This window comes from Homo sapiens, chromosome 2 (genome assembly GCF_000001405.40).
Source record: "Homo sapiens chromosome 2, GRCh38.p14 Primary Assembly".
NCBI lineage: Eukaryota > Metazoa > Chordata > Mammalia > Primates > Hominidae > Homo > Homo sapiens.
This window is the reverse complement of record NC_000002.12, coordinates 56,186,991-56,200,805: the sequence shown is the minus strand read 5'-3', so window position 1 is coordinate 56,200,805 and position 13,815 is coordinate 56,186,991. Positions and strand designations below refer to the sequence as shown.

The following is a 13,815-nucleotide window of genomic DNA, read 5'->3' as shown; positions in this document are numbered from 1 at the left end:
AATACACATAAATTTTACTATGTAAAAATGGTAAATGAACAGCCATCTGTGAATAACCCAGTTATTGTCTTTTATCTTTGGAACAACAAACCAGTATTGCCTTTATAAGAATGACAATGTAACCTGCTACTCCTCTGCCATTTTCCCTTTTCAAAAACACCTCTCCTGCCTCTCTGCTGCTAAAGGATCCTCTATCTAAGAAAGAGCAGAGGTTCTTTCTATTGGAAACACTTGAACGGCACTCTAAAGAGAAAGCAATTTATGTCAGGAGCAGCAGTAACTTGAACCTCACTCTTTTGCAGATTAGAGACTTATAAATTAGAGCTGAGACTTTATGTCTGTATCCTCAAGTGTCCCGTAGTCTACTCTTGATATCGAATCTCAAATTTCCCAGCTCTCTTGCAAATCAGCCCATTTCAGAACATGGAACGATTCTTAATAGGTCCCAAAATCAAATTCAAAATAAATATATTTTCCAAATATGCTCAATGCTCACCATAAATATTATGTATTAAAGTACTATCAAGGGCAACTTGGTTATACCAAAGTATCCAAGAAGCAAATATTTGAGTTGATAATATTATAGAAACATAGTGCCTCACTTATCTGTAGTCAAGACTCAGCCAACAAGCAAAAACGGGCTGGGTGTGTTGGCTCACGCCTGTAATTCCAGCACTTTGGGAGGCAGAGGCAGGTAGATCAGCAGGTCCGGAGATGGAGACCATCCTGGCTAACATGGTGAAACTCCATCTCTACTAAAAGTACAAAAATTAGCTAGGCGTGGTGGTGTGCGCCTGTAATCCCAGCTACTCAGGAAGCTGAGGCAGGAGAATCGTTTGAACCAGGGAGTCGGAGGTTGCAGTGAGCCAAGACTGCGCCACCGCACTGCAGCCTGGCAACAGAGCGAGACTCCATCTCAAATAAAAATAAAAATAAAAAGCAAAACTGAACCTTGAAAAGCTAAAATACTTATGGCATATGGACTATGCACTGAAGCTCATGCAGTTTACTCTTAGAAGGACACCTCATGGTTATTTATTTTAAACACATTTCTAAGCAGGGCAGTTATCTGCATTCCCAAGCTATGACCAGCCATTGGGAACAGCAGAAAAGAATTTAGAAACAATGAGAAAATGAGTTAAAGTCAGGCCTGCTGAGGTCAGCAAGGAGTGCAGCTGACATCATGGCAGTACTAGAAGTGATTGGAAATCTATTTTTAGGAGATTAAAAAAAAAAGAATACTCATACAGGGCCATTTAATGAAGGAATCCACAGTTCTATCTCTAACCATCAAAAGTAAGTCGTAGAGCCTAAGGTGATAAATTTCAGCCTGGAAAACTTACTCCAATCACAGATACACTGGCCCAAAGTTGCTACACAAGTAAAACATTATAATTATTTATTTTCTTAAAGCTTTGGCAAACTTTGACTTTACACTCTTATTTCTGAGTGTAAAGTGGAGATCGACTAACATCCCTACATCCCTGCCTCCAGAATAATCTATCATTACTACAACTTAACTGTATAGCCCTACACATTCTGTATTTGTATTGCATTCATTTATTCATGTACTTATGCATTTGTATTCACGTGTCTGATTCATTTGACCCTTGTGAAAAGCTGTGACCTGATGAAATGGAATAACTCACCATAGCTTTTCACTTCCCCAACCTTTGTTCTAACCAATTTCAGGTAAAATGAAATGATACATGCATCACTAATTCAATGGTCACATTTTTTTTCTATCATATCTTCTGAAAAGTTGCAACAAGCCAGAAGATATAAACATTTCACTGGTTTCAACTGAGTCTAAAGGACAGGATTATAATCAGTTGAAAGAGATTCTTGGTTTACTTTATGGCAGCAACTAGCTTATGTGACAGGATGCCAGACACATTTGAACATTAGCTTGACCAACTAGAAAACAGTTGAATGTTTGGCATTGTGCAGACGCAATATTAAAGTCACTGAAATGTATATAAACATATGTATACACATATATATACAAAGTTGATAGGCAATCTCCATAGGAAAAAGATGAAAATGACCCTCCAGATTTAAATTACATTTATAGCATTGTGCTATCATTGTCAGTGGAGTTGAAAACCTTACACTGTACTAGAAAATACCTTTCTAAGCCATCTAGGTTTTCCAATAGTTTTCCTCTGATATATATTGCAATTTTCTTAAACAAACTATATTTTCAATATTAAGCTTTCTATGTCATTAAGTCAAAATGTATCCTTATGATAAATGTAATATGCTTTGCATATACAAGTATGGTACAATAAATCAATTTTATCAAAAACTTAAGTTGATGTCTTATCAAAGTGTGCATAAGGTTACCAAATTACAGTATTGAAGTTTGAAGAACAAAAACCATTATTATTTCTTTAACCATCTGTCAGTTCACACAACAGAAATACACACAGAGGGCCTGAATTAAAATCAGTTCTGGTGTTCCATAACTGTAACTGTTAAAATTTTTCTCCCAGGAGACATTCAATTTCTATTGTCCAAATTCATTCACAAGTGATGTGCTGACTTTTTTAAACAAAATGAAAGATTTATGAGAGTAATTATTCATGCTATAGTGCACACTACTTAATTCACAGACAATCCCGCTTCAGAGAAACACTGCTGGGGTCTTCCACATACAGGTTATCTGACCCCTCATAGACAAGGCCACTTTGTGTTATCAACATTTTTCGTTTACTCATTAATAACCTCAACAGAGAATAAGGAGCAGTCTTAAAACTCTGGGTGAAACCACAAAGTGGGAGATTTGAAATGCAATATTCTCTTGTGGGAAATACCCATTAGCATTGCCGGCAGTGCAGGCGTCACCGACATCCGCCGTAAATAGGTTAGAAACTCATGTGCTTCTTTTTCTATCTGGATGTAAAGGCTTTAAAAAGTAAAGCAGTCATGAGCCTACTCATATGTCAGAGTTGCCTTCAAATTAGCCTAACAATTCCACCCATCAAAAACACAAATTTTCAACCCATATCCCCAGATAGTATGTTATTAGACAACTTTAGTCTAGAATGGAGTGAAGTTTTACGGTAACAGCTGGGATCAGTCCTTCCCAGTCCTGGAGTTAAGCAAAGGAAAAGGAGAAGTTTTCTTCTTCCCAGGAAGCCTGAGTGTTTGAAACCTTCACTCACACCAACCCATCTTAAGCAAAATGACTCACTGAGGGCAATGGTTTCCAACTGGTCCACTCATTAGAATCACCTGAGAGCTCTTTTTGCAAAGTGCCCAAGTCCAGTGCCAGATCAATTCAATTTGCATCTCAGAGTGCAGTGTAAGGCTCAGCCACCAGTATTTTTTCAAAGCTATCATAGTGATTTTAATCTGCAGCTAGATTGAAAACCACTGCTCTAAAGCAATGGTTTTGAACCAGGGGCAATTTTCCCTACAACCCCCCGCAACCCTGGAACGTCTGGCAGTGTCTAGAGACATTTTTTATTACCACAACTAGGGGGATGCTCAGAGGTAAAGCCCAGGGATGCTACTGAACCTCCTTAAATGCATAAGGCAGCATCTCACAACAAAGAATTATCTGGTCCAAAATAATAACAGTGTAGCTGTAAAGAAACCGTGAACTAGAAGAGTTCATTGGGAGAAACAGCCTGCTCTTTCCATCTCGAGAGATACCCTCACAAAACAAGAAAAGAATCAATAGGAAGCTTTCAGGAGGAAGACTTACAACCCTGACACTCCATTCAGCAAGACCAAAGTAGTTCTAAATGGACCTTGTTTAATGCAGGTGAATGATTTCCTCATGCTTGCTCTCATTGGCTGGAGTGATGTTTAAGGAGAGCACAATGTTACTGCTCACTGAAACTTGCTCTAACAAGGCAAAGGGAATCAGACCCACCAGGATAATTAAACAATTCCTTTTTTTTTTTTTTTTTTGAAGACGAAGAAGAAAGAAGATAATGAAGAGTACCATTTCTTCGTCTATTTATTCCTTCTCATTTGCCAGTCACCAGCAATATGTGCTTCTAGAATTAATATCAAACTATTTTTACTATTTTTTCTTCTGCATTCATTATGTCCAGTGGGTGAGCTACTTGTAAGGATCTGTGATCATCAGAATCTTCTTTGTCTTGAAGGCCAATAACAAATACAGCTATTGCTAGAAGAGCCTAAATCATCCAAGACATCCATGACCTGAGCTAAATAGTTACCTGTTTAAAAGCAAAGGCCTGCCAGCTAGTATCTGGAAGCACAACTCTTTCATTTTGTTGTGGAAGGAAACATTTTTGCCTAAGAAAATTCCATTCAACCTTGGATGTCAATGGAATCAAGTAAGTGAAACCCCCATTCTCAATAGTTGAGGCTGTCACTTTATGAACATTTATAAATGACAATGGTTATTCAATTACTTAATTTACAAATATGAAATAAGCAAGCAATTTGAATGAATGGACAAATGCCTGAATGCCTAGATGTGGTAAGTGTTGAATCTACTTCCTATTTGAAAACGGAACTCTACACAAACTAGAAAGAAATCATTGAACAGTAACTTCTAAAGAGTTAAATGCATTTTTGAGAATTTTGTTTAGTTTGGAGATTTGTTTAAATATTTCTTTTGCTTTTGCTTTTGTTGTTTTCTAAACACCTACTAATTAAGAAATTATTATAGAGACTTAAGATGTTTTTAAGAGAGAAAAAATAGCTAAAATTTATCTTTGCATTCCCAAAAGAAACTCTTGAATGAGTTCAATATTTCATCCACTGAGTTTGTAATTATAAGCACAAGAAGATTTATAAATGCTCAAGGCACAGTCAACGAAAACAGTCATCTTTTTCACTGATGTCCTCTCAGTGTGCATATGTGTGTGTTTTGGGAGGGAATGCATATCTTTACAGGTAGGACAATATCCTGCCAATGTATATTTCATTTCTGTTTCAGTCTGCCATAATGCACACACACTTCCCATTTGTTTTCACATGCTTTTTGTTCACATAAAAACATGCAAGTGCTCATCCAAAACACTCATATTTCACACCAACCCCAAGCAGAATGACTCTGGAAATGAGTCAGCAAATCTGCAATTCTGAATTAACCTTGATACTGCTTCCTATCTATTTACACACAAATGATTCAAACAAATTGTGTGAGGATTTAAAAATATGAAAAAGCATGTCTTACCATCCATATCAAAAGTTAATTTGTAACAGCAGGATAAATACAAGTTACCAATGCCCATGTTTATAGGCTGATGATCCATAAACATCTCATTGTGCCACTTCATTTTCCAATTAATTACTGAAATTAAAATACAATGCAAATGCACTGCAAATATACTCTGAGGATATCAACTCTCAGCATAAGATTGGTCACTTAAGAATGAGAAAACTTGAAGTAGACATAAGATTTGAACTTCACTATCATTCTATTACATCAGTTTTAACTAAATTATAGTGTTAAATTTTAAGAAACATTTACCTGCCCCACTAAGTTTCTCTGTATCCAGGCAATAAGCTATGAGGTAATGTCATCTTTACTAGGAGATGCACCTTACCTACAATGCAAGGCATTGTTTAAAAGCTGCATCTAAAAACTTTTCTTAGAAGTCAAATCATACAGTGATTAAACTAGAGTTCTTTATATAAAGAAGCCCTTTTGTAAAGAGAAAGTGTTTTTTAAGTGATCCACTTGTCCCTAATATTTTCTTTTAGTTTCAGAGACAAAGTTTCCTTTTAATGGTGCACATATTTACTTCTCAAGCTCATTAAAAAGTAATCAAGAAATGGAAAAATCATTAACTTTACCTTCCCATTACTCCACTATCCCCTCTTCAAAGACAAGCTTCATGTCCAATGACCAATCTCATGATAGTAACACAACCAAACTTTCTTTTTAAATGACTTGCATCTCTTGTACAGAATTGGGCAGCCAAGACTGCCCACAGCAATGGGGTGGGGGTGGGGGCAGCATCTCCACGGCTCTTGGGAAGAGTGAGTGAAGGTTCAACCTTGGAAAGGCACCAGCCAGGACGCCTCAAGACAACAGGTAAACTGGCTTCTCTGGGCCTCCACCTCCCAACGACAGAGAAAGCAGTAGCCTCTCATCTTTCCCAACCTTTTTATTTCCACTTGTGCTTAAAAGAACATTGCATGCATTTGAAGTCAAGTTTCTGGAGGCAATTTTCAGCACTATGAGAAAAGGATTAGGATAAAATGGAATCCAACAGGTAAATCCCCAAATACAATATTGAAATTTACCCCTTCTTGTCACTGCTAAAACTGGCAGCCTCCTCCACTACTGCTTGGAGCTGGCTGCAGACTCCAGAGCACCTTCCAAATAAAGCAAAAACCCTCAGATATTTTCAATGAAAACAAAACCCCACAGTATATAAAATCAATCGTTTTAGATCCAACTCAACCATAGGTAACATAAAAGGATTGTGGAGTTTTTTTGTTTTTTATTCTTTAAGAAATGATTTTTTCTCTCTCAAGTGCAAAGTGGTTTCAGATCCAAGATGCAGAAAATTAAACCTCTTCGAAAAGGTTTAAAAGCTCAGGTTTAGCACTGCCTCAGCAAATGTAGTGGACGTTATGCTTTAGAAACCAAAAGAGTGTCCAAACACATCTGTACATTTTAAAAAGGTACTTTCAAACAACCAGGAAAGATGTCTCTTGCAGTGTAAGACAGCATATTATTTGGAATATGTATAAGGGAGTTTGATGACAGTGTTGGTGGATTTTGAGTGAGTAGAAAGGGAATCAGCTGATGCGTTTTAGATGCAAAGAAATGTCACAGATTCAGGCCTCCAACACAATGGAAAAAAAATCCTTAAGGTAAAGTCAGGCATATTTATAGCCATTTGGGCAGACCAGCATCAAGCCTGTTTAGGAACATCATACTTCTTTTTTAATGTTATTGGTTTTTCATAGAAATATTCATATCTTCTTGTATATAACCTATTAACTGGATTCAAAATCCTTTTGGCAACCATTCCACAAACAAGCTCTGGTAGGAAACAGCACACACCACTAAGAAAATGCTCAGGTTTAAGATGAAAGACTCTTAGAATGGTTCTATTTTTTATCACCAATACCCAAAGATTTCCCTTTGACAACTCAAGGTCCTAAGGAATTACTGTTCCTCTCCCTCCCATAAACCCTCATCCCCAAACTTCTTCACACTGACTGATAACTGTTTAGAATAAAAACAGATGGAGGAGAAGAACCCCATATCATGATTTTGGGTCCAACATTTGCTCCTTCCCCAAACCCACTCCCTAGCTAGCGCCTGCACTTTCTTACATGGCTGGAAAGTCCATCATCATTCGTAACTCTCTACTGAGTTCCCCAGCCCAAGCAGCACCCCAGCACATACTGACCCACCGTTCATGCCACTGTAGACATTCCGGTGATGGGGTGACCCGTCCTCCTGTGCCTGCCGTCTGAGGGTGCCCTCCCTGCTGCCTCCGCCGCTGCCTCCACTTCCTCCACTGCCTCCTCCGTGTTTGTGATCAGGGCTCCCTCCATAATGTTGTTTGAGGTGCTCCGGGCTGGTGCCCCTGGCTCTGGGGAGATGCTCTAGGCTCCCCCCAAGAGCGTGTTTCTGAAGATGCTCCGGGCTCCCTCCACTGTGCCTGGCGTGTTCAGGGCTGCTCCCTGACCGGTGCTTCTGGAAGTGTTCCGGGCTCCCACTCAGCACGTGCTTGGGCAGCGTTTCGGGGCTGCTCCCTGGATGCGGGTGCCTTTGCTGTTCGGGGCTGCCCTTGCACAAGGGTTTGTGGTGCTCCGGGCTAGGTCCTTTGAGTGCTTTGGGGCGATCTGGGGTTCCACAGGCTCTGGGTTTCTGTGGATGCTCGGGGCTGGCGCTCCTGTGCTTGGAGTGCTCCGGGCTGCCCTCGCTCCGGGGCTTCTGCAGGTGCTCCGGGCTGCCACTGCTCGCGTGGTGCTTGTGGTGGTCCGGGCTGTCAGTGCTGCCAGTGCTGGAGGTGCTGCTGCCGTCACCCACATCCCGCACGTAGGGTGCGGTGGAGGCTGTGAGTTGGCACAGGCTGGCCTGGCTGTCGATGGAGCAGCGGCTGCCTGCGCAGCCTGCACCCTTCTCCTCATCTAGTAGCACACAGAGCTCCTTGAGCTCCATGTTCTCCTTCACCACTTCCTCCTGCTTCACCTCCAGGTCTTTCAGCTTCTGCAGGTATAAGGCCACTTCCTTGTGCATCACCCCGGCAGTGTAGCGACCCAGTCTCTGCCACTCCCGAGACACCCTCTTGCCTTTCTGCCGGTCATCATCCAGGAAACAGCAGAGGTCCCTCAGTTCCTGGTTGTCTTCCTGGAGTTTCTGGTTGATATCCTGAAAAGAGAGACACAACCATTCAAGGGAAGTACACATCTGAGGTGTCAGCAGGCTCAGACTTCCTGGAAAGGGAGAGCCTGTAACTGGTGAATTACCTGTGAGGTTAGGGGAGGAGGTGAGGGAGTAGGAGGAAGCTGAAGATTTGTAGCTGTCCATAAAAATTAAACTAACTTAAGTATCAGTTCTATCCCTGCACAATACTTTACTTGCATTATGTCATCTAATTTTTACCCAAACATTTAGGGGATAATAATTAGTATGGCCATAAAAATTAAACTAACTTAAGTATCAGTTCTATCCCTGCACAATACTTTACTTGCATTATGTCATCCAATTTTTACCCAAACATTTAGGGGATAATAATTATTATGGCTCTTATACAGAAGAGGAAATCGGACCTCACAAAGCTTCACTTGTCCAAGTTCATCTGGTCAGTAGTTAGGGAGCAACCAGTTCATTATCAAGAAATCAGTCACTAGATAAAAACAAGGCTCCCCTGCCTCACCCTCAAGAAAGAAAAATAACTGCTTGTGACCTGTGAAATGCTTAAAAGCCCTGAGACAACAGACCTTTCAACAGAGTAAACAGCAAGCACTGCTTAGATCTTCAGCCCTGACATGGAATATGCAGCCCCAATTCCCCTGGTAGGGAAAGGCACAATTGCCCTCTAGTGGCATTTCAGCCCTGCACATCCAACCCCTACTTGCCACACCCACCTGAACATCTCCCAGGCATCTCTCACTTATCTCAAGCAACCTGAGCCTTAAATTAAGAGACCTCTCTCCCCAAACTGCACCTCTCAGCAAATGCCCCCTCTTTCTGTTCCACTGTTCTTTATATGAACCTGGGGTCATCCCTGGCATCTCCTTCTCCTTCAACCTTCCATTTCAAAACCAAACAAGGCTTTGGAGCTCTACTTCCAAAATTTAGCTCATCTTGTCATTCCCATGTTTGAAATCCTTTAATCTCATGGCCCTTAGGATACAATGCAAAATCCTTTAAGTCACACAAGGCTCCAGGTACATTGATTCTGCCTACTTCTCCTGCATGAGTGATGATTCACTTGCTTGTTCACAAATACTCAGTAAACATCTATTACTGTACCAGGTACCAGTCCAGGTGGTAGGGATATATCAGTGGACACAGCAAAGACCCTGACATGGTACAGCTTTTATTGTGGTGGGAAAGACTGGCAAAAAACACGTATAGAGCATAACGTCATGCAGTGAGAAGTTCTGGAAGGAAAATTGAAGCAGGTTAAAGAATACTCTTTTTCAAGAGAAGATACCGCTACAGAGAAGGGAAACATTTGAGCAGGCACCTGGGTGGAATGAAGGAGCCAACATTTGAGTGAAGATGATCCCAGGCAGGGAGAGGGCAAGTAAAAAGCCCTAAGACCAGCATGAGAGCAAGAGCTCAAGTACAGCGAGGTGAGCATGTCTAAAGAACAGAGAGCAAGTCAACGGACATGGGAAAGGGGGTCTGAGAGGCATCAGGGCCTAGAATATGCATGGCATGGTCAGCGACGGGAAAGGCTTTGGGTTGTTAGGGAGCTGAGGATAGAGGAGTGACATTACATGATTCCTTTTGCAAAGAATCTCCATAGTTGTGTGGAAAACAGACTGACTGGGGTAGGGGAGGAAAGAAGGGAGGGTCAGGATAAAGTGGAAGCTGCAAGATTAACAAGTAGGCTCCTGGGCTGGTCCAGGTAGAGGGAGATGATGGTGGCTTGGACGTGTGGTAGCAGTGGAGAAGGTGGGAACACCCCTCCTCATCACACACTGAGGCTGTGTTTCAGGTCCTCAAAGGGCAAGGCCTTTCCCTCTCACCTGGAATGCTCTCCCCAGCCTTCTAGACAACCATCAGGTCTCATTTTATAAGTCACTTCCCCATAGACACCATTCTATAGAAGGTCCACCCCCAATCTATGGTCTACCATCATCCCTCAGACTTACTGCAATTTGTAAGAAGAAATGTGTGAGTATGACCATTCATTCTAGACTACATCTTCTCTAGAGTCACAAGAACAGAGACCTCATCTATGTACTTCTGTGTATGGAGAACACAGCACTCCCTGCGCAAATACCTGAAGCCAAGGAATTTTTAAGATGACTAGTAGAGTTCCCACCTATTCTCCATTTATGCATACAGTCAAGGAGCCAGCAGTTCCTTGAGGCACTGTAGTTTGGTAAGGATGAAACAGGGGCAGCTACAGGGCTGCTACCTAAGATTTCACTGCTTCAAAAAGCCTGAAAAATCTTTGGTCTTGCGAACCGATCCAGAACTAGAGGTACTCAGAAAGGGGGCTGAATTCACTTACACTCAGGCTGATTTCAACACTGCCCTTAACATAGACTAAAAAACAAATTATAAAACACCTGTCAACCACATCCTCCACTTCCTAAAGTCATGGGAGTGAATTTGTGGGTATTAGGAAGAAGCTTATGCAGCTTAGTTTCTAACTCCAGTTCTAATTCTTGGCATCACCAACAACTCTGTTCCTTTGCTTCTAATTCCCACCTCTCCTTTTTGCTTCTCGTTGCCACTTTCTGTTTTCAGGCCTGACCTTTGCCAACAGCCTCCCAGGCAGCCTCCCTGCCTTTGTTTGCACCATCCACTCCTTCCCCTCACCCACTAGAACACAAGCACTCCTCAATCAGACCTTCAAAAATACTCCCTGCTATTCATGACATAAAGATGGCAACAACAGAAACTGGGGGCTCTTAGTGGGGTAGGAAGGGAGGTAAGGGTTAAAAAACTATCGGATACTATGCTCAGTACCTGGAAGATGGGATTAATCATACCCAAAACCTCAGCATCACACAGTGTACTCTCCGAATCTAAAATAAAAGTTGAAATTTAAAATAAACAAAAAACAACAACACCTGGGTTCAATGGCTCATATCTGTAATCCCAACACTTTGGGAGGCCGAGGTGGGCAGATCACTTGAGGTCAGGAGTTCAAGACCAGTCTGGCCAACGTGGTGAAACCTGTCTCTACTAAAAATACAAAAATTAGCCAAGCATGGTGACACGTGCCTGTAATCCCAGGTACCCAGGAACCTGAGGCAGGAGAATTGCTTGAACCAGGGAGGAGGAGGCTGCAGTGAGCCAAGATCACGATACACTACAGCCTGGGCAACAGAGTGAGACCTTGTCTCAAAAAAAAAAAAAAACACCAAAAATACCCCGTGCATGTTTTGCCTCTCCTGTTTATCAATCCCCATCACCTTTCCTTTGCCAGGGAAAATGAATAAGACCCTCAGCCAGGCCTGAAAGGCTGTCCCTTGCCTTTCCACCTTTAGTTGCCAGCTAATTATGAGCTATGATTACGTCTGTGCATTCCAACTAGAAAATATCATCTTCTACCCCATATGAACCTAAGAGGAGAGATTCCTCTGAGAAGTTTCCCCCGGCACAGAAAAGTACCCATGAATGAATGAATGAAGTAACTTTCCCACTCACTGTTTAAGGCCTGTATCACACTCTAGCTAGAACAATCACTAGACATCAATTTTTTCTCCTTTCTAATGTGGACATCTTAGCTTCTGGAGAGCAGGGTCTATTCCAAAAGTCTTTCTTTGAATATGCAACATATCTGGCATGGTGCCTTGCATACAGTGGACACTCAATATGTGTTTATGGACTGATCAACCATATAAAGCTCCAGGCCTCTGGCCAAAACAGGCTACAGCTATAGCTACTGAGAAGAATTTCTTATTGTTTTCAGCAAGCACTAGCTATGTCAGAGCCTACAGTAGTAAGAAAATAAACTATCCCTTGATACTGATGCTTTACAGGAAATCAGAAGCTGTGGATATTTGGAGAAAACAATAACAAAGAAAATTAATCTTTCTAAGCTCCAAAAATTATTCAACATTTAGTTTAATCCTGGCATTTGATAGAAAGCTCAAGTCATGTTCTCTTTCATCTAAACAAATTTTCATAGGAAAATACTTCCCTTTGACTATGCTACAGCTACTTCTGATTTCTCTAGAGCTGGAAAGTAAACAGGACTGGTGCTACCCTCGGCTTCACGGAGCTAATGCCTTTTCCAAAAGGAGTGAAACATACACTTCTCAGCACTCCAGATGGAGTAGATAGGAGTGAGTATTGGCCCACTCCCATTTCTATATCACAGTTCCCTCTTTCTATTATTAGTTTTCTTGAGAATATTATTTACTATTCAGTTCTGAGCTATTTCCTTTGCCTTCTGATGAACAGCTAAGCAGCCAGCTTGATAATAACCTTGTGATCCAGCTTCTTCAAATCTGCCTCACTAAGACTTGGGCTTTCTTTTGCAAAACACTAGGTGTCCTTTTAACATTGCCACCGGCCACCAGAAATTATCCAAGTGTCTAAGTGGACTTTTAAAAGGTTAAGTCCACTTCGTAGCACACCAACCAAAATTTCAATCTTATGCCTGAAGACTATCAAGTACTGTATCTACAGTTAAATAATTGTTTTAATTTGTTATTTTGCTTCACTGCAGAGCAGGGTGGTGGGCGGGTCGGTGGTTGGGTTAGGAACCAAGGAGGGAAATTAATGCAATGAAGAAAACAAATCTACAGAGATTCATCCCGAATCAGCCCCCAACTGGGATACTGGGTCAGAGCAGCCTGAAGTGTTGGTATATGCTCAGCAGTCCAAAGACATGGTTCTCAGGAATCCAGTTCCTTACAACATAACCCTAACTAGAATCTCCCTCATCCACCCCTTCCAGGACCACACATTCTAAGCAAAGAATGTCAACTAGCCAAAAGAAAAGGAAAGCAGGCCGATTTTGAACACTTTATGTCTGTGTGACCTTGAGAAAACTATCTAACTTCACTGGGGTTTCTTCATCTATGGTATATTTCATCCTCATAAAACCTCATGTGGAATTAAAATCCCCATGAGCAGATGAGAAAACCGAGAGACAGAGAGTTTAACAATTGGCCAAAGCTGCCCAAATTATCAGAATCCAAATTCTTTATCTTTCCACTTCTCAGGGCCCCTGCACTGCCCTGCCTCCCAAATATCTAAACACAAACAAGTCAATCAGTGCTAGGACCCGGCCACAGGCCCCTGAAAAGTAAAGAACTGATGCTGCCATCTCCTGTGTCCACAGCTACAATAACACCTGGTAGCCTTACAAATATTTAGATGCAATTTCAAAGTCAGCTCATAGAAAGAGGCATAAAAAAGAAAATGTATTATGGTCTTAATTCCCCTACATTTATAGTTCTCAACTGAGAATGCCAAGCCCTCAGACGCTCCCCCACGCCCTTAACAAAAAAAAATACTTCTTTTCTTCCAGTTAAGCCAAAATAAATATATGTACCCATCATTTATTCAATCAACCACATTTATGGATTACTATGGTGTCCAAGGAAGCTCTGAGCCAAAATAAAAAAGAGAAGGGAGAAGGCTGGCCTCTCCAAAGAGTAAAACCACAGCACACCCAGGGTGGGCCAGAAGCCTGGGAGTCCGCTCCTTGCAGC

The 13,815-nt window shown here is 41.5% G+C and overlaps 1 protein-coding gene across 7 annotated transcripts in view; it reads right to left on the bottom strand.

Moving 5' to 3' along the window:
* CCDC85A (coiled-coil domain containing 85A) overlaps window positions 1-13,815 on the bottom strand; it is a 202,323-nt gene that overhangs the window by 185,369 nt on the left and 3,139 nt on the right. For all 7 annotated transcript variants that reach the window (XM_024452642.2, NM_001080433.2, NM_001348512.1 and 4 more), the window contains exon 2: window positions 7,366-8,329. In XM_024452642.2, coding sequence (XP_024308410.1) covers window positions 7,366-8,329 — 964 coding nt within the window. The remainder of the gene's footprint in view (window positions 1-7,365; window positions 8,330-13,815) is intronic.